Source organism: Homo sapiens, chromosome 13 (assembly GCF_000001405.40).
Source record: "Homo sapiens chromosome 13, GRCh38.p14 Primary Assembly".
Classification (NCBI taxonomy): domain Eukaryota; kingdom Metazoa; phylum Chordata; class Mammalia; order Primates; family Hominidae; genus Homo; species Homo sapiens.
The window spans coordinates 109,180,781-109,208,561 of NC_000013.11; the positions used below are offsets into that span (position 1 = coordinate 109,180,781).

Consider the following 27,781-nt stretch of genomic DNA (forward strand, 5'->3'; position numbering starts at 1 on the left):
ATAGATTGTCCTAATCTTCCCTCTATTCCTTAGAGATGCATCTACTTTACCTTGTAAGCATCACAGATGCTTCCTCTGAGATCATGCACAGGGGAACCTCCTGGTCATGAACACTGGTTTGATTTTTGTATTGGAGGCCTGACTCCTGTACATTACAACACAACGCTGGGCCATCTGACATCCTTTCCAGGCCTGCCCCCTGTACATTACAACACAATGCTAGGCCATCTGACATCCTTTCCAGGCCTGCCCCTGCAATGTGGTTCTTAGACAAAGGGAGTCATTTGAAAGACGGTGTATATAGTAGGGTGCTTTGTGACTTTTCCTCTGTGTTTGGCTAAGAATCAAAGAGAGATGAGAAAGGTCATCGGGAATCATTTTCCATTCTCAGATTTCAAAGAGGCCTTGTTTTCAAATGCAGACATCCCTGATGAGGCAGGAACTGCCAGTCATCTTGGGGCACATTCTTTTTCTCAAGGAAACTGAAAACCATGCTTATTTTCTTCCATGCAAATTGTGGGCACTCACGTGATGAGACAGATTCCTTACTGGTGAGAAGCTGTAAGAGTTATGTGAAACTATGTGTTGAATGGCTTTCAGAATTTATTGCTCATGTGACATTTATACAAGAAGTATGGACACATGCAGGGAACCAGCTTTTTAGCTTTTCTACTAATGCAATTAAATAGAAATTCTATAAAATCCAGTCCTGGACAGATTGGGCACGTAGCAGTAAAATTAAATGGTGACCAAAAATGAAATTTCTCTTTAAGGATGTCTATATTTTCATTAGCCTCATCAGCAGTTTTAATAAACTCCCTTCAAGGAAGATAAAATGTCTGGGCGTTATGGTAGATAAAGAAAAGAGAAAATAGAGTCAGTGATTTGCCAAAGATCATATGGAAAATTCACTGAGTCCACAGTTTGAATGGAAATCAAGATCATATGTTCCGTTTCTGAGAATGAACTTATCATAACCCATTAAAAGAAATGCAGGAGTCATTCAACTGTTTCATAAAATTTATTTATTTATTTATTTTATTTTATTTTTTTTTTTGAGACAGAGTTTAACTCTTGTTGCCCAGGCTGGAGTGCAATGGGATGATCTCAGCTCACTGCAACCTCCACCTCCCGGTTCAAGTGATTCTCCTATCTCAGCCTCCCAAGTAGCTGGGATTACAGGTGTGCACCACCACACCCAGCTAATTTTGTATTTTTAGTAGAGATGGAGTTTCATCATGTTGGTCAGGCTGGTCTCAAACTCCTGACCTCAGTGATCCGTCCGCCTCGGCCTCCCAAAGTGCTGGGATTACAGGCGGGAGCCACTGCACCTGGCCTGTTTCATAAAACATAAAGAATTTTTGGTTCAAAAATAAAAGTCTTCAGTAGCCATAATGGACATTTGTGATTTGGCTTTTTCCTGCCAGTCTCACATTTCAGTTTCGCACCTACCACGATGAAAATACAAGGGAAGGGACTCCCTCTTCCTCCCCTGCTTTGACAGCTGGACAAACACATGTAAGATGGGCTCAGTTAACCTACCTACGATGGATGCAGAGTGAGGGACATATAATGGAAGGGACAACAATTGACCTGGCTCCATGGGGTGACATTGGGCAGTAGTGGCTCCATGCAGCACCAGCAGAAGAATATTAGTCGGAGAAGAACTTTGCTCAGAGCACGCCAGCCATCAGCCCCTGAATCCACCTCACCCACTCGCCAGACCTTTTTGTCGAAGTTCATGTCCTTCCTTAGCCTTCCAATGAAGCCTCTACCTGCCTGAGATGTCCAAGGTTAGTTTTCTTTGCTTAGAAATCAGAATTTTGACTAATATACACATTTAATTTTATTGTTACTATCTATAAAGTTTTACATCCAAACAAGTATTTTTTTCACTAAGTGTACAAACTCTTCATTTGTTCTCAAAATAGATGCAAAACATTTTCTGATAGGGCTGGAGCCTTAATATACGGTGGTTGTTTATGTAAAAAAAATATAGAAAATATAGTTGATGTTGTACTGCATTATAACTTTATTAATTTGAAAACTATAATGGCTTTATATAAAAGTAGTGAAAATTAATTTTACATAAAATGTTTGAAACTAGCAAAAGCTGGGACATTTGCTGCGCTGTGCATGGGGCTGTGTTCCTTTGCACTTCCCAAGCACTGGGCATGAATAAAACTGGCTGTGAGATACGACATCATGGAATTCCACACACTGGCCCTTGAGGGAGCTTTGTGGCAGTTCCCAGGACTCAAATCTAGAATTTCGTAGGTTATAGTATTTTATAGTAGCTTTGGAATTAAACAGCATTTATGAAAAGAATATGACATTTATCTACTTACCATTTTATGAGATTTTACTTTTTTTAAAAGTTTATGCTATTTGGCGTGATGCAATCCTTTAGAAGTAACTCGGTGGTGAGAAGCTAAGCGGCGGTGGGGGGGAATGCTGACAGCATCAGCCAGCCAAGAATGACTTCTTCGCATTTTTTGCCATGATGGCAATCCTCTGCCGACTCAGAGGGCCAGGTAACCTGACACAGGAAGCCCACGATTTATAAATAGAGCAAAAGCATGAAAGTCACAGGGAGGTGGGAGGATGGCCTGAAGGCAGAATGATGGCAGAAGGGGACGCAGAAACAAAAATGCTTGGTACTTGCCCTTGGCATAAAAATTTCTAGTTACACATCTGTTTAGGGGTCCACACTTGACATTGAGAAATGAGCTGTTTAATTGTTTCATTAAGCATAGGCTATCTCTATTTATGTTACTATTTTAACTCTACCACCTTTTCTTCATGCCTTATTCTTCTTCTCAGCAGTCTGCTCTCCACAGTAATATCATGTGCTTTATGTTCTTTTATTTTCATTATGGGCATTTATCATATTTCTTGCCAAGTTTTTAAAAATATTCTTTTGTTTTTGTAAAGAACATAAAAAGTTATTATGCATATTGATCATATTCAGGTATTCATCGTAAGAAACCATTCATGGTCTTTGATAAACTAATGGCAATCTGGGACCCAAGATCTTAATAAATATCCAGCTCACTCCTGCCATAGCTGCCGATGAAAGCCATAATAAGATCAATATGCAATTGATTCACATCAAAAAGCAAATTGTTATGTGGTTTGCTTTACTGAATGATCAAATAAACCTTTTTGTAATGTCATATAAAAACAAAGTTAAGAGTTGCAGAGCACTAAATAAATCCAATGCCTTCTTTCTATATTCATTGTATTTGTTATATAGACTGAAATATATTATAGCATGGAATTAAAACAAATTGTGTGTTAGATAAAATAATGAAATGTGGAAATATTTAGTTTAATCATTAAACGATAATTCTAAAGATATGTCAGGGAACGTAAGTAAGATAACCCTTTCAAAAGGAAACATATATAAATATATATTTTATATAACCATATATGAGCTACAAAGAGAAGGAGATCTAGCACACAAAGCTCTTTCACACAGCCAAGGTTCAGGGAATCCGTACTCACCACTCGTGACTTACAGATTATGTGCAAAAAATGAAGGTAGTAAATTAAGTTGATGTGTGAAATGGCAGCATTTTCAACAGGGAAAGGTCATGTCCAGTAGAGATAAATAGAAATTTAGAAAATAAAAAACAAAAACATATCCTATATTTTGTATTTTTCCATCATAAAATTGCACTGTATTTATTAATGCAACATAAGTGTATATAAATGCACAGTTTTTTCTGATTAAGACACTATTTATTATCAGTGAGGAGGATTTAATTGCCATAAATTTTGAGAAAATAAGAAGTCAGAGTAGTGACTATGTTTTTTTTTGTTTGTGTGTGTGTTTGAGATAGTCTCCCTCTGTCCCAGGCTGGAGTTCAGTGGCGCAATCTCGGCTCACTGCAACCTCCACCTCCCAGGTTCAAGTGATTCTTCTGCCTCAGCCTCCCAAGTAGTTGGGATTACAGGCGCGTGCCACCACACTTGGCTAATTTTTTTCTTTTTTTTTTTGAAATGGATGGAGCCTCACTCTGTTGCCCGGGCTGGAGTGCAGTGGCACAATCTCAGCTCACTGCAACCTGCACCTCCCAGGTTCAAGCGATTCTCCTGCCTCAGCCTCCTGAGTAGCTGGGGCTACAGGCACATGCCATCATGCTCGGCTAATTTTTTATATACTTTTTTCAGTAGAGACGGGGTTTCACCATGTTGGTCAGGCTGGTCTCAAACTCCTGACCTCAAATGATTTGCCCCCCTCCCTCCCAAAGTGTTATTACAGGAGTGAGCCACCGCACCTGGCTGTGACTACATTTTTAAAGAGGAAAAAGTCTTGTGATATTTCTGCAAGCTCACCTTCTAGATGGGAAACCTGCAGTTAGCAATATTATTGTATAGTGGAGGAGTAACAAAGTAATTAGAAACATTTGGCTAACTATAAATTCTAGGTAACAACAATTTCAATATTAATTTAATTGGTTTTTAAAGTGAAGAAAATAAGAAAAGAACTAGATAAGAATCCCAGATTCATCATTCATCATGTAAGTGCACAAAAAAGTAATTTTGGGGGTCAATTAGAGAAAATATATGTAACATGCCTAGCATGATGCTGCCTGGAATACTGTAGGTGCTTAAAAAAAAAAAAGCTAAAAGCTTACTTGCTCTTGTTATTATGGTATTCCTTTCTTTGCAGGGTCAATATTCTGAAAACCAGTTCTGATTTTAACATTGTAGATGCTATCCAAAATATGGAGGAGATTAGATTGGATCAAGAGAACCCAATATTTTTCTGGGATTTTGGTCAAATCTATTATATGTGTGATTTTTAAAATATGATTTATTATGGAATAGTATAAACTTAAAAAACAGTGATTAATGAAACATCACCTTTAATAAGTCTTAACATTTTGCATTATTTACTTTAGAGCTACATTTTTGGAAAAACATGTATCCTAGCTCTCAATCTCATCCCTGCCTACCACACCAGAAGTGAATCATCACAATGAAGTTTGCACGTAGCCCTTCATCCATGTTTGCACCTTTACTGAGCATAGGTGTACTCATAAATCATATAATATTCACAAGTAATAACCAATGCTATTCATGCTTTCAAAGTGTAAAAAAAAATCTCACTTTCTACAGATTATTCTGCAAACAGCTTCTTGTTTTTGCTGTGGTGGGACTTTTTTTTCCATTTTGATACATGCATCTCCCACTTGTTATTTTATTCTAAGAATTAGCTCCAGGTGAAATGTACAGACTTTAGGGTTAACAACTGTAGTCCCCGCTACTTGGGAGGCTGAGGCAAGAGGATCACTTGAGCTCAGGAGACTGAGGCTGCAGTGAGCTGTCTTCACACCATTGCATTCCAGCCTAAGCAACAGAGACCGTGTCTCAAAAAAAAATTAAATTAAAAAACAACTTTAGGGCTGAGGTATCGATACAATAAGAAACTATTGATGACCGACACATACTTAGTGCAAAATTATACTCATATTCCTTCAACAAGCATGGCAGGGAGCAAGCTCAGGAGGAGAGGAAAGCATTAGGGACTGAAGGGCAGGTGTCACACGACCTGCTGCTGCTGGCCCTAGGGTGCTGTGGTGCCTCAGGGGGACAGATGAGCACAAGGCAGATGGTGTTTTCCTCTGGTCTGTTGTGTTGTGGTCCACAGAAAACCTAATTCAGTGATCTCCATGAAAGGTGCAGGGAGATCGATGATGCTCTGTGCTCAGTGCCAATATGCAGGTCATATTGTAGTTTACAACTTCACTAGAGGGCTAGAAGTTACAGCACCCAAGGAAGTGAGCATACATTCTGGCCAGTGCCTCTATAAGCTTTTCAACACACACACACACACACACACAAACACACACAATCATATTGCTTTTTAGGTGCAAACATGCCTCCTTCATTGGAAACTTTTCTGAGAAACAAGTTCCATATAAATGTGGTCATGGCATTTCTTAAGAACATGTTTACAGTTTGACCAAAGTGAGTGGAAAACTTACATCAAAATCATTTCCAAGTTATCAATGTTACAAGCCATGCTACAATTAACATCACTGAAAATGCCTCTAACTTACAACTGGGGGAAACAAAAAAATTGCCCAAGATTCCCCTAGAAATGGAAGTGCTAAGTTTCTGCTCATGGACATTTTCAACTGTAGTGGTTATTACCAAATTACTCCCCTAAAAGGTTAAACCAATGTATGTACTTCTAAAAGGGAGTAAAGTTTTCCATCTCTCCTGGTAAACACTTGGTTTAATTATTCATTTAATTTTTGCCAATATGATAAATGTAAAATGGATCTTATTGTGGTTTTATTTTATTTCCTGGTTGCCAAGCAGTATTTTCACATATTCTCAGACTTGTTAATCCAAATACATCCTTTTCTTATTTCCCAACTTGTTTGCATGATTTTCTTGATGATGTTAGGAATTTTCCACATATTCTGGATAATATTCCTTGCCAGTTTCATGCATGGCAAACATTTTGCTTATTGTGTTTTCTTGGTCGGTTTAGCTAGAAGTCTATCAATTCTATTGATTTTTTTAAAGTAGCTTTTGATTTCATTGATTTTCTCTATTGTTTTACTGTTTTATTGATTCCTGTTGTTTTTTATTTTCTTTTCTTTTGCTTGCTTTGGGCTTAATTTTCTCTATTTCTGCTTTCTTAAATAGGTAGCATAGATCACTGACTTGAAGTGTTTCTTTTCTTCCTAATAAAAGCATTTAATAGAGTTGTAAATTTCCATCTCAACACTGTAATAGCTGCATCCCACAAATCTTAATTTGTTTTGTTTCCATTTTCATTCAGTTCAAAATATTTTCTAATTTCCCATGGGACTTTCTCTTTGGCTAATACTGATGCTTTCCAAGTATTTGGGGTTTTCCAGGTACCTTTCTGCTGCTGAATTCTAGTTTAATTCCCCTATGATCTGAGGGTATGCCTTGTATGATTTCAGTTCTCTTAAATGTACTAAAATGTTTTTATGGCCCAGGATATGACCTGTCTGGCTGAAATTTCCTTGGGCACTTCAACAAAAATATGTATTCTGCTTCCATTGGGTGGAGTCTTCTGGAAGTGTGGATTAGGTCTGGTTGGTTACTTGTGTCCACATCCATGTCTCTGCTGGCTTTCTGTGTTCATTTTTCATCTATTCCTGAGAGAAGAGCACAGAAGTCTCCAACTATACTGTGGCTTTGTCCACACCTTTCGGTTTCATCAGTTTTTGCCTCATGCATTTGGAAGCTATATTTGAGATACAAAGACTTTTAAAATTATTGCATCTTTTTTGGTGAAGATCTATTCATCATTATACAATTTCATTTTTTATTTGTATTTCTTTGTCTTAAGTCTACTTTGTCTGAAATTAATATAGCCACTCCATTATTTTGTTCATTGTCTGCAAGGTATATTTTTTCATCCTTTACTTTTTAAAAATAGCTTTATCAAGATATAATTCACATACCACACAACCCGTGCCTTTAAGTTATGAAAATTCAGTGTTTCTTCGTAACTTCTTAATGTTGTGCAACTATCTCTACAATGTAATTTTAGAACTTTTTGCCTCCTCCCCACAAAAAATTCACCCCTTCACTTTAATGTATTCATCTTTCTATATTTGACATGAGATTTCTGTAGGCAACATAACAGATGAGTCTTATTTATTTTTATCCAATCTGACAACCTTTCATGAGACCATTTCTATTAATGTAATTATTGATATGGTTAGATTTAGGTATGTATTAGATAGATTCTCTAGAGCGACAGAACTAACACGATAGATGAATATATAAAGGGGAGTTTGTTAGGGAGAATTGACTCAACACCATCACAAAGTGAAGTCCCACAATAGTCCATCTGCAAGCTGAGGAGCAAAGAAGCCAGTCCGAGTCCCAAAACCTCAAAAGCAGGGAAGCCAACAGTGCAGTCTTTAATCCGTGACCAAAGGCCCAAGAGCCCCTGGCAAACCACTGATGTAAGTCCAAGAGTCCAAAAGCTGAAGAAGTTGGAATCCAATGTTCAAGAGAAGGAAGCAGGGCCAGGCGCAGTGGCTCATGCCTGTAATCCCAGCACTTTGGGAGGCCGACTTGGGTGGATCACCTGAGGTCAGGAGTTCGAGACCACCCTGGCCAACCTGGAGAAAACCTGTCTCTACTAAAAATACAAAAGTTAGCTGGGCGTGGTGGTGCATGCCTGTAACCCCAGCTACTCGGGAGGCTGAGGCAGGAGAATTGCTTGAACCAGGGAGGCGAAGGTTGCAGTGAGCAGAGACAGTGTAATTGTACTTCAGCCTGGGCAACAAGAGCAAAATTCTGTCTAAAAAAAATGAAAAAAAAAAAGAAGGACACATCCAGCATAGAAGAAAGATGAAGGCCAAAAGATTCAGCAAGTCAAGTCCTTCCATGTTCTTCCCTCTGCTTTATTCTAGCAGTGCTGGCAGCTGATTAGATGGTGCCCACCCAGATCAAGGGTGGGTCTGCCTCTCCCAGTCCACTGACTCAAATGTTAATCTCTTTTGGCAACACCCTCACAGACACACCCAGGAACAATACTTTGCATCCTTCAATCCAACCAAGTTGACACTCAATATTCACCATTACAAGGTATATTAGTTTTATTACGTGTTTTTCTGATTGTCCCTGCTGTTTTCATTCTTCTGTTTCCTTATGATGACTTCTTTCAGATTATTTGGATATTTTTAAAATTCCATTTTACATTACCTATTGGTAAATTAAAATTGTAATATATGAACATCTAATTTCAGTCTACCCTGGTCAACCGTCTTGGTCCCTTCACCCTCTATCACCCATCTTTACTTAGCAGTTGAACCATGTGCTACATCTGTGTACATTGAAACCCCCCAGGCCATGTTGTAACTTCTTCTTTCAACAGTCATACAGGGAAAAAATAGTGGGGAAAAAAAATCGTCTTTTATGCTAACTCAATATTTACAATTTCTGTTGCTCTCCTTCATTTCTGAAGTTCTGAGTTTCCTTCTGGTATCATTTTACGTCAGCTTAAAGATCTCCATTTAGCATTTCATTTAGAGTAGGCCCAAGAAATCTTAGTTTTCTTTACCTGAGCATGCCATTATTCTGCCTTCATTCTCTACGTTTTGATTCCCTACCACGATTTGTGTTTTGTTGTTGTTTTTTTTTCAACTTTCCCAATTCCTCAGATAGATGTTTTGTATTTTATACAAAGTTTTAGTTGTAATCAGTGAGAGAATTAGACTATAGTAGGCTTACCCGTTTATGTGTTTATCCCACGTAAAGTTTTAATGTTATTATAGTCAAATTGATTAATCCTTACCTTTAGGGTTTGTACTTTTGTTGTTCTGTTTAAGAAAATCTTTCTACATTTTTAAGGAAAAAAAAATTATTTTACTGCTATCTGCCATAAAGATATTATCCTATTATATTTTTGTAAAGTTTAGGTTTGTTTTTTACATTTAGGGATTTAAGCTACCTGGACTTTGTTTTTGAGAATGGTGTGAGTTAGCAATGTAATTTTACATTTTTTCTGTACGGATAACAATTGTTCCACACTTTTTGCAACATAGGCCATGCTTCTGCTTCCTCCTAACACTGAGTATGTCACCTCAGTGACATATAATCAGTCAGTGTAATATAATCATTTGTGTGTGTGTGTATGTGCACCTTGATAGACCTGTGAGCTTATAGAGAGTGCATTAAATGCATCTTAATCACTTTTGAATTCCAAACACAAAGCACAATAATTTGTCAGCTCAGTGTAATTGTTAACCAGTAGCAGCCCCAGAAGAATTAAGAGAAGCTGACTGATATATTATTCCCTAACTTTATTAGATATTTTAAATTTAATCCCATGTTAAAAATGTATCAATAAACTTGTTAATTAGGATCACAGGCAGTTGTTTCACTGGTTGGAGGAAATTAAAGTGAAGTCACATTTTATTCAGTGATTGGCTTCTAAAATTATGTAATTTGAAAGTGACATATGATGAAAACCACTCTGGAACATCCTTACATTACCTATCAAGAATAATATGCAAGGTTTGTAACTCCATTCAATTATATGCATCCATGTATAAGCAATGCATAAAGCAACTTAAAGCATATAATAATATATATTTAGCATTTTGAGTTCCGAGTGAGTGGATTGCATAAAATTGAATTTTCAGGCTGGGTGCAGTGGCTCATGTCTGTAATCCCAGCACTTTGGGAGGCTGAGGCGGGCGGATCATCTGTGGTCAAGAGTTCGAGACAAGCCTAGCCAAAATGGAGAAACCCTGCCTCTACTAAAAATACAAAAATTAGCCGGGCATCGTGGCAGGCGCTTGTAATCCCAGCTACACGGGAGGCTGAGGCAGGAGAATCACTTGAACCCCAGAGGCAGAGGTTGCGGTGAGCCAAGATCGCGCCACTGCACTCCAGCCTGGGGGACAAGAGCGAAACTCTGTCTCGAAAAAAAAAAAATTGAATTTTCAAAGGCTCATTCATTGATCAAAAGATGTTTATTGAGGTTCTGCTTGTACTAGGCACAAGTCTAGGCACGTGGGATACTTTGTCTACAAAGCAAACTTGCTTGCCCTCATAGAAGTTAAATTCTAGCATGGAAAAATAGGCAATATTTAAGTAAAATATGTAATACACTAAAAGGAAAAAATCATATGGAAAAAAGAAAACGTTCAACAGGGTAAGCAGGGTTGGGAGGGTCAGACTGGAGAGTGGTGAGGAAGAAGGTTGGGCTGAGTTGCAATTGTAAATCAGGGATCAAAAAAAGCCTCCTGAGCAAAGATATGGAAGTCAGGGAGAGACCAGTGCTGACGTCAGGGCAGAGTGTTCTAGGCAAAGGGAGCAGCCAAGGCCCTGAGGTAGGAGCATGCCTGCATTGCAAAAAGGCTGGTGTGGCTGCAGTGAGATTACTCTACTTGTCACTAGATGTTCAAGTGGGGTTGAAATTACTATAAGTGTTAATTCTAGGAAAGGGATACTTTCCAGTTATGAACTACGGCAAGAGGCTAAATATAAAATACCAATTATGACTATATCATATTACAACCTTCTTTAAAATCATTTTACTCGGTTTGGAAACTTTAATCTGTTCAGAGTATAAGTAAAGGTTAAATGTTTGCCTTTTTTTGTAAGTGGAAAATATTAGACATATAGTTCTGTTTCTGCTCAAGATATCAGAGAGTTGGAGAGAGACTCCAGGGAATCTGGACCCCATATTTCTGATAATTTTGAAAGCGAAATTCAGGCTAAAATAATAGAAGGATTTCCATTATGCTGAAATAGAGTCAGCTAACACTGATGAAGGTATGTATTTTATGTCCTCAGCAGACCTAGTAGACCTGATTTTTCTCTGATTTTTATGATTGCATTATTATTTGAAACTGTCATTTTGTATTTCTGACTCTGTTTCTAAAACAGATGAGCTGTGATATTGGAAAGAAGTGTCATGCAGTCAATGATATAAAAAGCCTAGGTTTTGAAGCCCAAGTGGATTTAAATTAATTTTATACACTTGCAGGTGATTTTTACTATCTGTTTCTGGAAAGGACTATTAATTTAAAATATTTGCTTTTATATTTTGCCTACTTTAGCAGGGTCTTGCCTCTTTTCCCTCCTAATCCTTCCTGACATCTGTTTTTCTTTTCTCTAGCATTTGTACCCACATTATTTGTTCTGACATTATCTTAAGGGCACTGTAATTGAGCCCAGAGTCACAGTGGCAGATGCTGTGCCTGCCAAATTCATGCCTTCTTTTTCTTAATCACAAAGCTAAACTATGTGTCCCAGTATCCCTTGTGGTTAGGGGTAGTCATCTGACTGAAACTAGCCAATGGAATGAGAACCATTGTGAGGGGCACCACTTACAAGCATAGCCCATGCAACCCAACCTTGACTATCTTCTATGACCTTTCTCAACCCAAAGCTGGATACAGAATCCTCCAAGACTCAGAATCCTCCAAGACTCAGGTTTACTTATGGTGACATGAAAGGTCATCCACTCATCAGATTCTGGCCTCAATATGAGCAAGAAATATCCTTCTTTTGTGCAAAGCCACTGATATTTATGATTTATCTGTTATGACATCCTGGGTAACCTAACTGGGACCTCTTCATCATTTATTTGCTTAATATTTTATTGTTGCTGTTAGGCATTAACATTTATAGCACCTAAGTTTAGCTTCCATTATTCAATAATCTTTATTCTTTAAGATAGCCAAAATCATGCCTCTTCATGTCTTCCAATGACAGAATTGTAGGAATATTGCTAATAAGAAGCTATAGTACAAAATAATGATCAGTTGGTGCTCCACCAAGCCACACTTCATACATACTCTCTCTCTCTCTCTCCCTCTCTCTTTCTCTCTCTCTCTCACACACACACAGTGTATAGAGAATAGTGTATATAAAGTTTGTAACTCCTAAAAATTCTTTAAAAATAAATGAACTTAATTTTGCTGAAGGAAAAGTCAATTCCCTGTAATAAATTGGGCACCCTGAGAAATAGAAATATTTTAATAGGTTCAGCATTTTCTGAGTGCATTTATTAATGATACAGAAGTGCCTCTCTTACCTCCAGTTCTCAAGTGGGTGACTCTAACAGGTCACTGCATTTTGGAGTTGCTAATGGATCCCATTGATTTGCTAATCTGTGCCCCTTTCCAATTATAGCTGATGTTTTAAAATCTAGTTGGATTGGGTTCTGTTACAATCCAGCTTCTTAAAATTATTTTCTTCATTCATATTTGATTCTATTTAATACTGTTACACACGATTAAATAACATGATTATTTCTGGAAAAAAAAATTTGAGAAATTACTAAATTAATAGTTAAACTGTGTCCTGCAAAACAATGTAAATTAAGACACTGGCTAATGTAACAGGTTGGGGAAAGTATCCTTCTACTTGAGTCCTCTCTCCTCTGAAGGCTATGTGTGCCATGCTACCATGATTTTGACGCTTGTTTTCCTCACCTTTATTCCTAGGCCTTACCTCCTTTCCTAGTTATTCACGACTCTATTGTTACTCCAAAGCCAACTGTCAAATCCTATACCCGTATCTCACAGAGCTTTTCTCTCTCTTGGTTTTATAATAATTATATACATGTAAGCAAAATATGAATACCATTTGTTATACCACTCAACTCAATTAGCCTTTCTTCTTGTTGTGTCCTAGTCATCCTTTCAATCCAGATCAAATCACATATCCCAGTGGCCATACTGCCTTTAAATGTGTTGTTTCTCTTCTGTATTCCAACAGCAGTAATGACATGCATAAGTTATTAATCAATTAATGCTATCCTGCCTCGTGAAATTTTTGTACTTGTGTCTTGTCTAAGCATCTTTATTCATATAATTTTTATGCACTTATGTCTTGTTACCCAATTTGAATGAAAGCCCCTCGATGGAGGTGGTCAGATTGTGTGCATCTGGCTTAGTCCTATAGAACCCACCACAGTTCCTTGCATTTTCATAAACATATGAAGCACATTTATTAATTGATTGACACGGAAAACTTTTTTGGAAGGCAATGTAATTAATACATATAAAAACTGACTAAACTCAATTGTACCTGAAATGGCATTTTGACTCTACCACTTTCTAGCCAAGTGACTTTAGGCTTGAAAGGTGACTTTCTGCATCTGTGAAATGAAGATAATGATATTGAACCTGCATATTTCACACGGTTGTGAGTGTCGACTAGAGTACTAACGTGAAAATGTTTTAAGGATATAAATGATATCATGAAGATGATACTAGAAATGGGCTTTAGAAACCTTGAGGGGGCATCTATCAGGCAGGGAATTTTAATTCGGACGTACAAACCAGGATGACTGTAGGGAAGAAAAGTAGAATTCCAGGGTGTGTTCCACATATATCTGGTTGGGTTGAAATATAGAGACTGTGTCAGAATGGATGATGACGAGGCTAGAATAATTCAGTGTGGCCAGAAAATACAGAACTTTCTCAAAGCATATGGGCTTGATTCTTTCTTTAGGCTAGGGGAAGGCAGTGGCATTAAAGATTTTTGAGCAAGCAAATTATATAGACAGATTTTTTTCTCTCTAAAGAAAGTGGCAAGAGAACAGAGTTCATACAAGATCCTTATCCTAAATGTCACAAATTAACTATATTGCATGATTTGTAGTAAAATTTTTAAGTTTCTATTTTATAACTTTCAGTTATAAATGTATAATGTATAACATATACATTCACTCATCAGAGTCCATTTTTACTCATAACTATGTGTGGAGAGGTTAAAATCAGCTGCCAAATGCAAAAAAAAAAGGTACTTAAATTATACTAAGTGTGTTCCAGTATAATGTTACTTATTATAAAAGTAAAGAATAGTTGTTGATTTTTTTTAAGAAATTAAAGCATCCAGATAAGGTAAAAAATGCAAATCCTCTCTCTTGCTTCCTTCCCTCACTATTGTCCAGATATAGCTCCTCTTGTTTCCAATAAAACTTTTAACGTGCCTTTTAAAGGATATTTTCCCCTTTGTTTAAACCTTAAGCAACAAAGAAACAAAATCCCAAGAATGAATTTAATTGTATTGCTATATAAATGAATATTTCTGAATTAGGAAGGACCAACTCTTTTAAAACACCACAAGTGCTATTTTGACTTTCAGATATTTTTCTTGGTTCTTTAGAAGTGTAGATATATGTAAGCTTTTAATCAAAGACTTTTTAAAAATCACACTTTATGCTATATCTTTAGGATTTATTTAAGTAGACTTCGGTTTTATAGACTCTGTTTTTTCAAATTTCATTTTTCAACATTTTTTATTCTTCAACATCTTGTTAGCTCCAAGTAGAAATGCGATTTGCATTTGAAACACTAATATTCACTATTCAGTCAGCCAAGACATTTCCTTCTTTTAATTTCCATAAATGTCAGTAAATGCCTCTTTTCACCTTTGGGTGAATAGTCAATAGAAAAATCAATTCTGTGACAAATGAACAGCAACATGATTTTACATATGAATTATTTAACAAAGACTATTTTTATCCTTGAAGGGAAAGACTTAAGTTAAAAATCGGTAGCAAATTATTAATTTACATTTATTAATATGATCCACAGGAATGCATATCCATAGAAATTGAAGAAATTTTATATCTTATGTTTAATTGGTTCATGCCCTAGACCTCATAATTGTCCAATAGGAAATTATTGAAAATTAGTAAATATATAAATAATCAATAAACCTCATTAAGCCTTTAGATCACGTTGTATTTTCACCCAGGTTGTGAGAGATTTAGTGTTTTGTAATGCCTGAAAATAAGTGAACTAATTACAAGTGTCTCACTTTAGAGAAAACACTGGCATCACCTCCGTTTTTACATCACTTTATCAAACTCCATCTTCTTATCTAATTGATGTCTCCTAGATGTTGAGAGACACAAGATTCTTTACAGTAAAGTACAGAAATGGAAAGTAGATTCATGTCTTGAATGTCTAAATTTCAAATCACCAAGGTTTTCTCAATAACAGAATAAAATCATTTTTTAAATCCCCGTACTGAGTTGTCGAGTTAGTAATCACCAGTATCTTAAGTAGCATTGTAATTTTCTAAGAATTACCATTTCTATGAAGGAATCTTCTTGTTGAAAACCTAATAAATAGAAGGGAATTTGTTTGAGGGTGAGTATCCCAACCCATAGGGAAATGGGTCTGGACCATGATCATTTATATATCTGTTTGCATATCCTAGGAGCTTGAAATGCTTTTCTGGTGTTCAGAGGCACAGACATTCATTGAATGTAAATGACTTAGCTTTTACCTTACATAATCCTGTCTTAAGAGCAGAAAGAACATAGGGGTGTTAGAGGTTTAACCCAGGCCACATTTTAGGTGGTCCAAACTGACAGGAGCTTGTTTATGAGAAATGCTGGCCCCACCCTAAGGGCTCCAGTAATACTGCCTTGGCCACAAATGTTTGTGGAATGGATCCCTTTGTCAATTTCTTTGGACGTCAGGTTTTCCTAGCTCCGTATAAACCGTGACTTTGCTCTCTCATTACAGAACTGCAAGTGGCCCCCAAACTTTGAAGCTTTCAGCTCTCTTTTGAATGTCAACTTTAAAAATAAAAATTACAGAATAACTAGCAAGTGTCTTATTAGCTTATTCACCAAACAATTTTGTTTTTAAAGACATTAAACTGTCAGAGAGCCTGTGCACTTTTCTAAATGCCTGGATTTTGTACCTATTATAGAACAGTACAATTTTTTCCGTGCCATCCCAAAATAATAATTTTGGACATGTAAGTTTATTTGATCCCTTAACCCTAAGGCACTGCATTCTTTGGCCACCAGGAGTCTGTGGTGACTGTCCCCCTCTCCTTCAGCGGCTCCGCCCACTAGCCATTCAGATCTATTTAGGCATGTTGAATTCACAGCAAGAAACGAGCATGGGACCACCCACACCCCATGTGATTTCAGAGCAGCCGAGCATTTTTAATAAGTTCCCAGAGCTTTCTAGTGTTTGAAAAACCCTTCGCTGAATCTGTGAATGTGAAATACAACTCACGTGTAAGAATGCGTTCAGGGGAAGCCTGGCGTTGCTTGAAGGCACTCTCTTCTGTTCTATTTCCTGGACTTGATGGAGCTGAGTTGCCCATTTACCCCCAAGGTTTTTTTTTAAATGGACCCACACATTTAATACTGTGTGATAATGTTTCTCCCTTCTCTCAAACGTGGGCCATGCATTCATACGCTTACTCCCTTTAAACTCTCTAAGCAAGTACACTGGATACTTTGTGCTGGGTAGAGATTAATTTACTCATTTTAGGCTCCAAGGACACCATAGTCTTGTGAGGCAGTAACTAATTCTACCCACATGCAATAGATCAACATTACTCCAACTCTTGTAATATACATGATACTTTTTAAATGAAAGAAAAACATCCCCTTGACCCTTAAAGTTTCTTAAATTATTTTACAATGTTAATTAAATGTATAGACATACAGTGTTACAAATAATCTCTTTACTCTTTGAGCTTTCATTTCAGCTATAAAACCAAGGCAAATTGACCACTTGAGTAGAATAAAAGTCTACAAAAGCAAAATAAAGGTAAAATTCACAACATTGATGTTAGGCATGAGATTTTGTTTAGCTGAAATGACATGACTGTTGGAAACGTGCGCTGACTATTCTATTCATCAAGTTCCGTCAAGCTTTGTGTGTTTTTCCCACTTTATGCCACTGGCTAACCAAGCCCCTACCACTATTTCTATTTGAAATGACAGCCAGCTTTTGAACTTACCCTGCTTTGCAATATCACATAGCTTTTCTTGCAGGAAAAAGAAAATCTATTACATATTAAATCCATCTGCTCTTTTCTCATTAACCTACAACAGTATAAATAATATTACTTCTGTCATCCTACTCATAAATAAAATACAAAGACATAAAAAAATCTCATTGAGTACTAGCTTGAAATATAGATATTCAAGATGATACAAAGTACAATTACTTTAAAAAGATATCATGAATATATAAACGCAAATAAATTTTAAATTGTTGAAGGAATTTGAGGACTCCTGAAAATACAAACCCTAACTTCAGAAGCATTGCATTTAACAACTGTTTAAATAGGTCACTAAAATCTCTTCATACTCTTTGTTATCTTACCCCTAAAATTCAAAAAAGCTGTAAGAGTTTTCTAATTTTCTTCCTGTAGAACTTTATTTAGTTTTGAGTCATATATAAATCATAGTTATGTTTTAAATCTAATGTGTTGCTCAGTATTTTCTGGGTTGCTTTTTAGTAATAAAAGAATATATTATGTTATATTTATAAAAGGCCATAAATCGTGAGAAGTGCACCTATTTAGCATTACTTAACTGAGTCATCAGGATAATCATAATTCAGCAGTGTTTAAGGATTTTGTTCAAGTCAAGGAGCTAACCATGGTACAACTGTAACAGCTCATATTTAAACAGCACTCACTACTTTTGTGAGGCTTTCTTTTAAGACACCTGCATATGTGACTCATATAATCCACATCAAGTTGTTACAAGGTAGGTAATTTCTTGTGGTCCCACTTTACAGGTGATGAAGCCAGCGAATGCTTGTTCAGCATTGCACAAGTAGCTTGCATAGTTGGGTTCCATCCCAGGCATTCCGGCTCCAGAGGCCAGGTTTTTCAGCCACACTGACTGTGCTCAAAACCATCCTCCAATTCCACATGGGTTTGTCATTTCATCATAGAAAATGAAGTTTAATGTCATTCCTGTCACTTGTCTACGTCAAATCCTGTGGAAACCCTTCTCCTCGCATGTTCTTCTCCCCTGTTCTAACTGGTTAGGTGCCCATCTCACTTCTCAATATTCAGATCAAAGGTTAATTAACTTGTGAAGCCTCCTCAGACTTTCCTCCATAAAGCTTCCTTTCTCAAGTAAATGGTTTAATAAAAAAGGTATATATATATATATATATATATATATATATATATATATATATATATACCGTCATTTTGCCTCGCTCCATCTCTGTGCCCTGGGTAACACTTTAAGACACGTGTTTTGTTTGTCTAAAAGCTCCTTGAAAAGCAGCTCAGTTGTCCCATTCATGAAGCAGGGAGCTCCTAGAGCAGAGGCATACGATGCAAGCGTGAAGGTTTGCAGATGTGGAGTCCTTTGTACTTTCCCAGTCATAACACTTGCCTTCTGGTTCTAAAAGATAATGATTCTGTGTACAAAGACTATTATAAAAAGTTCCAGAAAAGAAAATAAATAAGTGACTCATTATCTGAAGTGGTGATATGGGGTGAAGATAATAAATCTTTTAAAGCAATGGAAAATGAGCTTTAAGTTAAAAGATACCACTATGGCATCCTTTATATTGTACAAACAAATCAGGATAAATTATACTCAGTGTGAAGCCAGCTGACTCCAAACTCACGCTGCCAGCAGCATCCTTAATCCCCAGAGGCAGTTTTTCTCTTTCCAAAAAGAAATGGTATCAAAACTAAAGCTTTTTGTTACAAAATCACTATTGCTTTTTTAATGATAATATTTAATTTACTGTGAATATCAAATAATGGTAAAGGAAGCCATGAGTGTTTTTGTTGTTACCAGTAGTACATAAAGTTTAAAGAATGGATAAACACTGATTTACATGATTTTACAGCACTGACTATTTTAAATGCTTTGTATTGTTTATATAGTACTGGACTGCCATTTAGATAGCATTCATGATTGTATTTGTTTGCTATTCTAAAATTTTAAAGCTTTTTCTCTATGAGAAGAGTAATTCTTGTGTTTCAGAATCTAATAAATAGATGGAAATAAAGCAGATTAAATATTGTTAAGGAGTACTGGCCTCCTCTTCTGATCTTCTATTTCTTGGCTCACAGATGATGATTTTAAAATGCCCTCTCAGGTAGGTTGAAGGTAGTGGCCTATCATAGTCTTACATAGAATTATAACCTTCATTATAACGTAACCTATGAAAATTCTTTGGTTTTATTTTAAATCAAGATCAATAAAATAAGATGTTAGCATCTTATTTCAGCCATTCTGGCAATTCTTATATACCTAGTAGATTTTACTCAATAGCTATTAATGTCTGTAATAGAAAAGAAGAAAATTTCCATGAAATCCCTCAATAAAGGGGTTTATTCTGAATGTTAATTGGTTATTGCAAACATCAGTCAAATTTTTGCTTATCAAAGAACTATGCAAAGTTCTTGTTTGTTGATTCAAATATGGTGTCCTGTACTCACTACATTATTCAATACATCAATACCCTCATTAAGAAAGGGCTTTCAAAGGGTTTATGTGTGTAAGTTTCACCTTTTATAAGGTACTTGGGAATTCAGATATTTTTAGTAAACACTGAGAAGCTTTGAAAGGGTAAGACAGCATTTTTTTCCAAAAAGAGAAGCAATGACTCAGGGGATCTGGGACTTTTTTTTTTTTTTTTGTCAAAATCCTTCCCGACAAGCCTAATTCAGATGAGCAGCCACTGAAAGTCACTCTCAGCAGATTGGCACTGCTGCTATGCTTCTATAGAGTGACTCAAATCTTTAAGTCTGTTCCTGTTATGAAGGTTAAGCAGAGGGTCACATCTAGTATATTTTGGTCACTATGAAACACTGCTGAAAAGAGTTTAGGATTTAGAGGAAATCTGGAGTGGATGTATTTTGTGCTTGGTGTAAGCACAGAGTTGTATGGTCTATCAAACACTAGCATTGAGATAAATACAGCATATGCCATAAGGAGATGGAAGAGTAACACCAACTGCTGGGTAGAGATTTGGATTCTGTTTGTTTGTCTAGTTTTTATGCTTTACTTTGTCTTGTTAGGAATTGGTCTCTATTTTCATATCCTTTTCTCTACAGTTCTTGCGTTCTTTTAGATTAATTGGATATTTATTATTTCACTGTTACATTAACTTTGATTAAATATTATATTATTCTTTTAGTAATTTCACAAGAGAAGACAACATGCATCCTTTACTCATTGCTTCCTAACAGATTTGATCACTTTGACCACTTTCTAATACTGCTAGAACCTTAAGACCTCGAAACTCTACTTAATCCCAATAACAAGGTTTTGCAGCTATTGATGGCATGCACTTGTGTTATTCATGTAATTTAAAGTCTATAAACATTTCAAGCATATAATTTATAGTTACCCATGGGTTTACTAATTCCAGTGTTGTTAATTCCCTCTTACATTTCCATTTTTTCCATCTGGAATCATCGTCTTCTACAAAAAAAAAAAAAAAAAAAAATCTTATTCTTTCTATTAATGTAAGAGGTTTGATGACAAATTCCCTCATTTTTGTTTGTCCAAGAACGTCTTTATTTCACTTTCTTTTTAAATTTCTTTTATTTCCATAGGTTTTTGGTGAGCAGGTGGTATTTGGTTACATGAGTAAGTTCTTTAGTGGTGATTTGTGAGATTTTGATGCACCCATCACCCAAGCAGTGTACACTGAACCCAATTTGTAGTCTTTTATCCATCATGCCCTCCCACCCTTTCCTTCCAGTCCCAAAGTCCATTCTGTCATTCTTATGCCTTTGCATCCTCATAGCTTAGCTCCCACTTATAAGTGAGAACATACAATGTCTGGTTTCCCATTCCTGAGTTAGTTCACTTGGAACAATAGTCTCCAATCCCATCCAGGTTGCTGCAAATGCCATTAATTACTTTTTATGCCAGAGTAGTATTCCATCATATATATATATATGTACACACACACACACATCATATATCTATACATCATACATATCATATATATGATCATACATATGATCATATATGGGGTATATATATATCACATACATCATCATATACCACAGCTTCTTTATCCACTCATTGATTGATGGGCATTTGGGCTGGTTCCACATTTTTGCAATTGCGAATTGTGCTGCTATAAACATGCATGTGCACGTATTTTTTTTGTATAATGACTTACTTTCCTCTGGGTAGATACTCAGTAGTGGGATTGCTGAGTCAAATGGTAATTCTACTTTTAGTTCCTTATGGAATCTCCATGCTGTTTTCCATAGTGGTTTTACTAGTTTACATTCCCACCAGCAGTGTAGAAGTGCTCCCTTTTCACTGCATCTATGCCAACATTTATTATTTTCTGATTTTTTGATAATGGCTATTCTTGTGGGAGAAAGGTGGTATCACATTCTGGTTTTGATTAGCATTTCCCTCACCAGTAGTGATGTTGAGCATTTTTTCATATGTTTGTTGGGCATTTGTGTATCTTCTTTCGAGAAGTGTCTACTCAAGTCCTTAGCCCACTTCGAAAGAAATTATAGATGATGCGAACAAATGGAAACACATCCCATGCTCTTTGATGGGTAGAATCAACATTGTGAAAATGACCATACTGCCAAAAGCAATCTACAAATTCAATGTAATTCCCATCAAAATACCACTATCATTCTTCACAGAACTAGAAAAAGCAATCCTAAAACTCATATGGAACCAAAAAGCCCACATAGCCAAAGCAAGACTAAGCAGCAAGAAAAAATCTGGAGACATCACATTATCTGATTTCAAACTATACTATAAGGCCATAGTCAAACAACATGGTGCTAGTATAAAACAGGCAGATAGACTAATGGAACAGAATAAAGAACCCAGAAATACACCCAAATACTTACAGCCAACTGATTTTCAACAAAGCAAACAAAAACATAAAGTGGGGAAAGACACCCTATTCAACAAATGGTGCTTGGATAACTGGCAAGCCACATATAGGAGAATGAAACTGGATCCTCACCTCTCACCTTATTCAAAAATCAACTCCAGATAGATCAAGGACTTAAATCTAAGACCTGAAATTATAAAAATTCTAAAAGATCACATCAGAAAAACTGTTCTAGACATTAGCTTAGGCAAAGACTTTATGACCAAGAACCCAAGAACAAATACAACAAAAACAAACACAAACAGGTGGGACTTAATTAAACTGAAGAACTTTTGTATGGCAAAAGGAATAGTCAGCAGCATAAACAGACAACCCACAGTGTGGGAGAAAATCTTCACAATCTATACATCTGACAAAGGACAAATATTCAGAATCTACAAGGAGCTCAAACAAATTAGCAAGAAAAAAGCCAAACAATCTTATCACTTTCATTTTCGAGGGGTATTTTTTATTCAGTGTAGAATTTTATGTTGACTTTTTTTTTTTTTCTCTCAGTAATTTAACCAGGAACATGTTGGCTTCTGGCTTCCAGTGTTTCCATGAAGACATCAGCTTTCACTCTTACTGTAGTTCCTCGCTGGGCTGTGCTGGAGAACCAGTCTACCCCTGGTTCTCTCCTAATCCTCAGGCTTGATCCGCCTTTGCCTTTCATTGCGAGGTCTTTGTTCCTCAGCCCTGAAAGATGACAGCAAATCTAGCCCTGTGTTTCAGAGCTCCCAGCCTGACTCTGCAGCCTTGTGCCCCACACACTTTCAAAATCCAGAAAATGTTTTAAGATGAGACTGGTCACATGCTAGAGGCCATCATCACCCCTGCCAGGGTTTTACTTCTGAAGCACCTCTGTCACTGTAGGAGGTTTCATTCTGCTTTCTATAAACTTTGGCCTAGGGCGCCCATCACCCATGCAGGTGAACAGCTAAATGAGTGTCCCCTGTGGACGATGGCTGTGCATTTGAGGACCTATAAGTTTCCAATTTGTTTCTTTAGTCCCATGAAACTCCAAAATATCATGTGGTTTATCTTCCTTCCAGAAAAAACTCTCTGGATCTGGGGAAATGCTCAGAATTGGCAAATGTCCCCGGGAGGAAAAAAGCAGCTGGTAATTATCTGTTCACCTCAAAAAGCTTCACTCCATCTGGAATTCTCTCCATTTGTCAGAATTTCCTGATGTTTTAGAAAAATGACTCTTTTTTGAAATTTTTACAACAGGAACAATAACATGCTATAGCTCTCCAGAAGTGAACGTTCCTCAGTTTGTTTTCTAAATAAATGAATATGAAGTTGTGTCATTTAGGAAACATGGTGTCTTAAGAAAACTTGGGGAAAATAATCAGTTGACATGGTAGCGATATTCTTCCATCAGTTAAATGTTGTTTCCTGATCTGGTGACATTGTTTTCAGAGATCACTACTGTATGCTGAGTGTGTGCCAAGGAACATAAATATGAATGTTCCATGTCCACACTAATGAGACTGAAGGGAATGTAACCAGCACAGCACACACTGGTGGAGGATGACGGAGGAGCTGGCACACACTCCTGGACAAACATAGATGACTGTGGTCCCATTCAGAAAAAGAAGGGAAGAGGAACATGGTACAGGGGACTCTGATCCTTAGCCTGTATCAGATCCTAGACCACAATAGTTGGGTTAAGCACAGTAGACTCACAGCTAAAAGCATATCTTCTTTTGAGAATTGTCTACTCATGTCCTTAGCCCACTTTGAAAGAAATTATAGATGATGCGAACAAATGGAAACACATCCCATGGACTCTTGGGCCAGGCTGCCAGGATCTGTCATTTTCCATGTGGCTTTGGCCAGATTACCTGACTGCCCTGTTCCTGTTTCCTGATCTGCAACATAGAAGTACCCACTTTACAGGGCTCTTAAGAGCTGACGAGTTAATGCCTGGAAGGTGCTTACGAAAGCACCTAGCACACGTGTAGCCAAAGTGTTCACTAAATAACCTGATTTCATGCAAGCTCCCACCACCCTGCTTTCTTGGCTCACTCTGCTGAGAGTAGAAGCAATCTGGCTTCCACAAGCATCTGCCCAACAGAATTTCTCATTTCCAGGCCATTCTGATGCAGCCCTAAAGAATAAAAAAAAAATACCCTTTTAAGAGGCCCACTCTGCTCTGCAGCTCACTCTCTGTTATGTCTAGAAATTGCTTTAGGGACTGAGTAACCATAGTCCTCTTTTCTACCCTTAAGCTCTTCTTTCCTCTGGTTGTCTGTAAATTCAACTGGGGAGGCTCCTTTTACTAATAACCAGCTCCAGAACTCTAGTTACAGACTCTGAATATGGGTTTGACCTTCATGCTGTAAACATCATCTCCTTGATCCCAGCCTTTAAAATCCTCTTTCTGGGGGAAACAGTAGGCTCAGGTGTTGGTGTTAGAATTGGGCCTGGATGGAACACTCACTCCCTTTGCTGCTTTCAAGTGACTGTTTTCTACATAAGTGCATAACCACTTGTGTTCTGTTTTGTTTTATTTTCTCTCATTTTAATGGAGAGGGTTGTGATGAGATAGAAGAAGTGCTGGAACAAAGTAGTTAGTGCTTTGGAGGTAGGATGAGTCATCTCATTTCCTCTGAATTCTCCCCAGTATTCCTATTCGGATTTCCAGAATCTCATTTTTTTTTTAAACCAGTATACTTCCTTAGAATTGCCAGAAAAATTGATATCTGCAATGTCCAGCTACTACAGACTTCTGGCGGCTGGCAGAAGAAGGGTGACCCCAGCTACATAGCCAGCTTGTCTTGTGCCCTAGCTGAAGTCAGGGGGTAAGCTTGGTCTGCAGGGTGTCTCTCTTCAGGGGCCATAGTGACACAAGATGATGTAGCCAATACAGTTACATGTTTTGATGCTTTCCTGCAAAGGCCCATAATGTTCCCATCTTTGAGGGCTCAGCGTCTGAGAGTACACAGTTGCTAATTTAGCTCATTGCTTTGTCTCACTGCCACCAAATAGAGCAGGCAGGTAGATACACCAAAGAGGCTTCAAATATTCTCAAGCACAGCTAGCCCGCCTTGAATGAGCTCATTGGATATTTTAGTGACTGCCTTTTGGAACACCTAATGCTTGAAAACATTTTCTACATGAGTGTGGTGTGATTGTGTATTGTCTATGAACGGACCCTCATGAGTAGGGGTCCATCTTTGGGTCCATGCCTTATGGTCGGAAGTGAGGTCATGTAACCCTAATAGTCATGTTTGACTATTAACTATGTGGACAGATGGAGGAGCAGCTCCGAGGATGGAGTGACGCTTGAGGAAGCTCTGTTAATAGGAGAACATCTATTATGGATAGAAATTAAATGAAGAGAAAGTACAAGATGCCATAAGAATGTACACAGTAATCGAGGGCATAGGTCAAGCAGACATTTGATTCTTTCTTGTAGCCTCTGGAGGTGCAGCACACCTTAACACTCTACCTAGTTCCCAATGTTTTGTTGCAGTCATTGCCTTAACTCAGCAATTCACAGCCTCTCTAGCCCAGTGCTGTTTCCAGAGGCAGCAGTGCATGGAGATTGAGGAAAGAGGCTGCCTCTTTCAGCACCAGTCCTGCCCCTTTGTATCCAGGTGTTGCTATCACACTTCATACTCATTCACAATATTTGGTGCTACCTGTTTTTTCTGCCCCTCTTCCTCCCACAGGTAATCCATCAGCTGAGGCTCTCAGAGAATGAAAGTGTGGCCCTGCAGGAACTCTTGGACTGGAGGAGAAAGCTCTGTGAGGAAGGACAAGACTGGCAGCAGATCCTGCACCACGCTGAGCCCAGGGTGCCTCCCCCACCACCTTGCAAGAAGCCCAGCCTTCTGAAGAAGCCGGAAGGGGCCTCCTGCAACAGGCTGCCGTCTGAGCTCTGGGACACCACCATTTGATGTGGCCTGAACTGCAGACTTACAAAATAGAACTGCCTACTGATTCCGGGCTGCAACAACAGAAGGCTGCCTTCTGACATGCGCTGGGGCTTCTCTCCACGCATTTAGACAAAAAAAGCACAGGACACAGACACTAAATATATGAGATCCCGTGTGTGTGTGTGTGTGTTTGTGTGTGTGTGTGTGGGTTCTTTCTTATCCATCTCGTGGTGATACACTCTGATTTTCAAGCTCCTCATTTACGGCTCTGTGCTACCCCTAGGTAGCAAGAGAGAGGCTGGGAAAAGTGTGGACGTGGCCAGAGCGAGAGAGTAGCGGAGGAAAGGAGCAATCCATGCACACTCTGTACAGTTGTTTTTCTACGGTTCAACAGTCTGTTTATTGTACTTCCAATGGTTTTATTATAATACAGTATACGGGACATATATTTTATTTCTTTGTAGCTACTTGTGTTTTATTGGTATTATAAACCTGATAATTATTTACATGTTTATTACTGTAATTTTATAAATTTATGCAATTGGTGGTGCTTCCTTTCTTCAAAATACAGATTTTAAAAAATCATTTCTAGATTATTTTTTTCCTCCACAGTCCTTTTTTTTCACCTAACGCACCTAAATCTTGAAACTACATTGTTGTTTTAGCTTCGCCAGTGTCACCCCTTGCAAAACTATGAATTGAGCCCCATGTTTTAGGTGTTACTCATGGATGAGGAGGCTGTTCTTTCCTATGCCCTGTATTTCTGGATAAGTGGATTGTGTACCCTTTAGTTAAATTTCACCTCCCGACTTCAGCATAGATCACAGGAAATCACATGGCACACGGTTAAACACGTATGGCTTCAAATCCATAGCCGGTGGTGTAAAATGATCATATTCATTCAAAGGCCTACACAGTACAAATGAGCACGCTGCCATGTACTGGTTTGAGCAGTAGGGGCTGCATCGCACAGCGCTCGTCCCCCGGGACTTACACTGCATGATTCCCTCACTGTATATCCTCAACCCTCCCATAATGCAAGGCCTTGTTCATTGATGTGCTTTCGTCGGCTGTCGGAAAGTTCTGAGCAGTGGCTCCAGACCACCTTGTCTTGCTACTTGGAACTTTTTATTCATACCAGCCTTTGAAAAGTTACTGTGCCAATAAAGAGGTACAACTGTGTTCTTCTATTGTTTTTGTTGTTGTTATTATTGTCTCCCATGAACTCTTGTGTTTTCTGGTCAGAGAAGTAGGGACAATGAAGTGATCTCACCCAGACTCCCTTAATGTGGGGGCCATAGCATTGTGCAAACTTTAGACACCAATGATGTTTTACAATACAGGCTTTATGATGATTCCAGTATGGTGAGACCAACAGGTCTGGAAGGGAGTCCCATTGAAAAGACGGCTTGTCATCCTCAGAAAGCTCAGAGAAGAGGACACATAGTGCCATCAGAGGGCCACACCAAGGTCAGCCAGGAAGCAGAGGGCATAGGGGGAGCCTTTTATTTTAGTTTGCACAACACTAGGAAAGGACAAGGCAGGATCAGCAGGCATAGAACTGACTGCTTTGAGAAATATCGGTGGGTTCTGGGTTAGCGGAGCCATCCCTACCTGTCTGGGACCTAGCCTTGAGGTGATTAGGGTGGGTGGAGAGTGGCCTGGAATGACAGCCCTATGAGAGCCCACAGGGGAGACTTACTAGGGATGTGGGCTCTAGATTGGTTGACTTGTCTTTGAAAATCA

The 27,781-nt window shown here is 37.9% G+C and overlaps 1 protein-coding gene and 1 long non-coding RNA gene across 8 annotated transcripts in view, besides 1 other annotated feature; one reads left to right on the forward strand and one right to left on the reverse strand.

Annotated features, from left to right (window-relative positions):
• Nucleotides 1–27,225, forward strand: part of MYO16 (myosin XVI) — a 712,290-nt gene extending 685,065 nt beyond the window's left edge. For all 7 annotated transcript variants that reach the window (XM_011521062.2, XM_047430183.1, NM_015011.3 and 4 more), the window contains one exon: nt 25,829–27,225. In XM_011521062.2, the coding sequence (XP_011519364.1) occupies nt 25,829–26,056 (228 nt within the window). In that variant the 3' untranslated portion in view covers nt 26,057–27,225. The remainder of the gene's footprint in view (nt 1–25,828) is intronic.
• Nucleotides 1,009–25,840, reverse strand: LOC124903207 (uncharacterized). Its single transcript, XR_007063864.1, has 2 exons — nt 20,634–25,840; nt 1,009–8,715 (listed from the first exon to the last, which is right to left on the reverse strand). It is a non-coding gene; the product is annotated as an uncharacterized LOC124903207 (long non-coding RNA).
• Nucleotides 8,153–8,652: an enhancer, noted in NCBI's record as "H3K27ac hESC enhancer chr13:109841281-109841780 (GRCh37/hg19 assembly coordinates)". NCBI's record gives its function as "activates a minimal SCP1, AML or CMV promoter by ChIP-STARR-seq in primed H9 embryonic stem cells {active_cell/tissue: H9 hESC(primed)}" and the evidence as "EXISTENCE:reporter gene assay evidence [ECO:0000049][PMID:30033119]".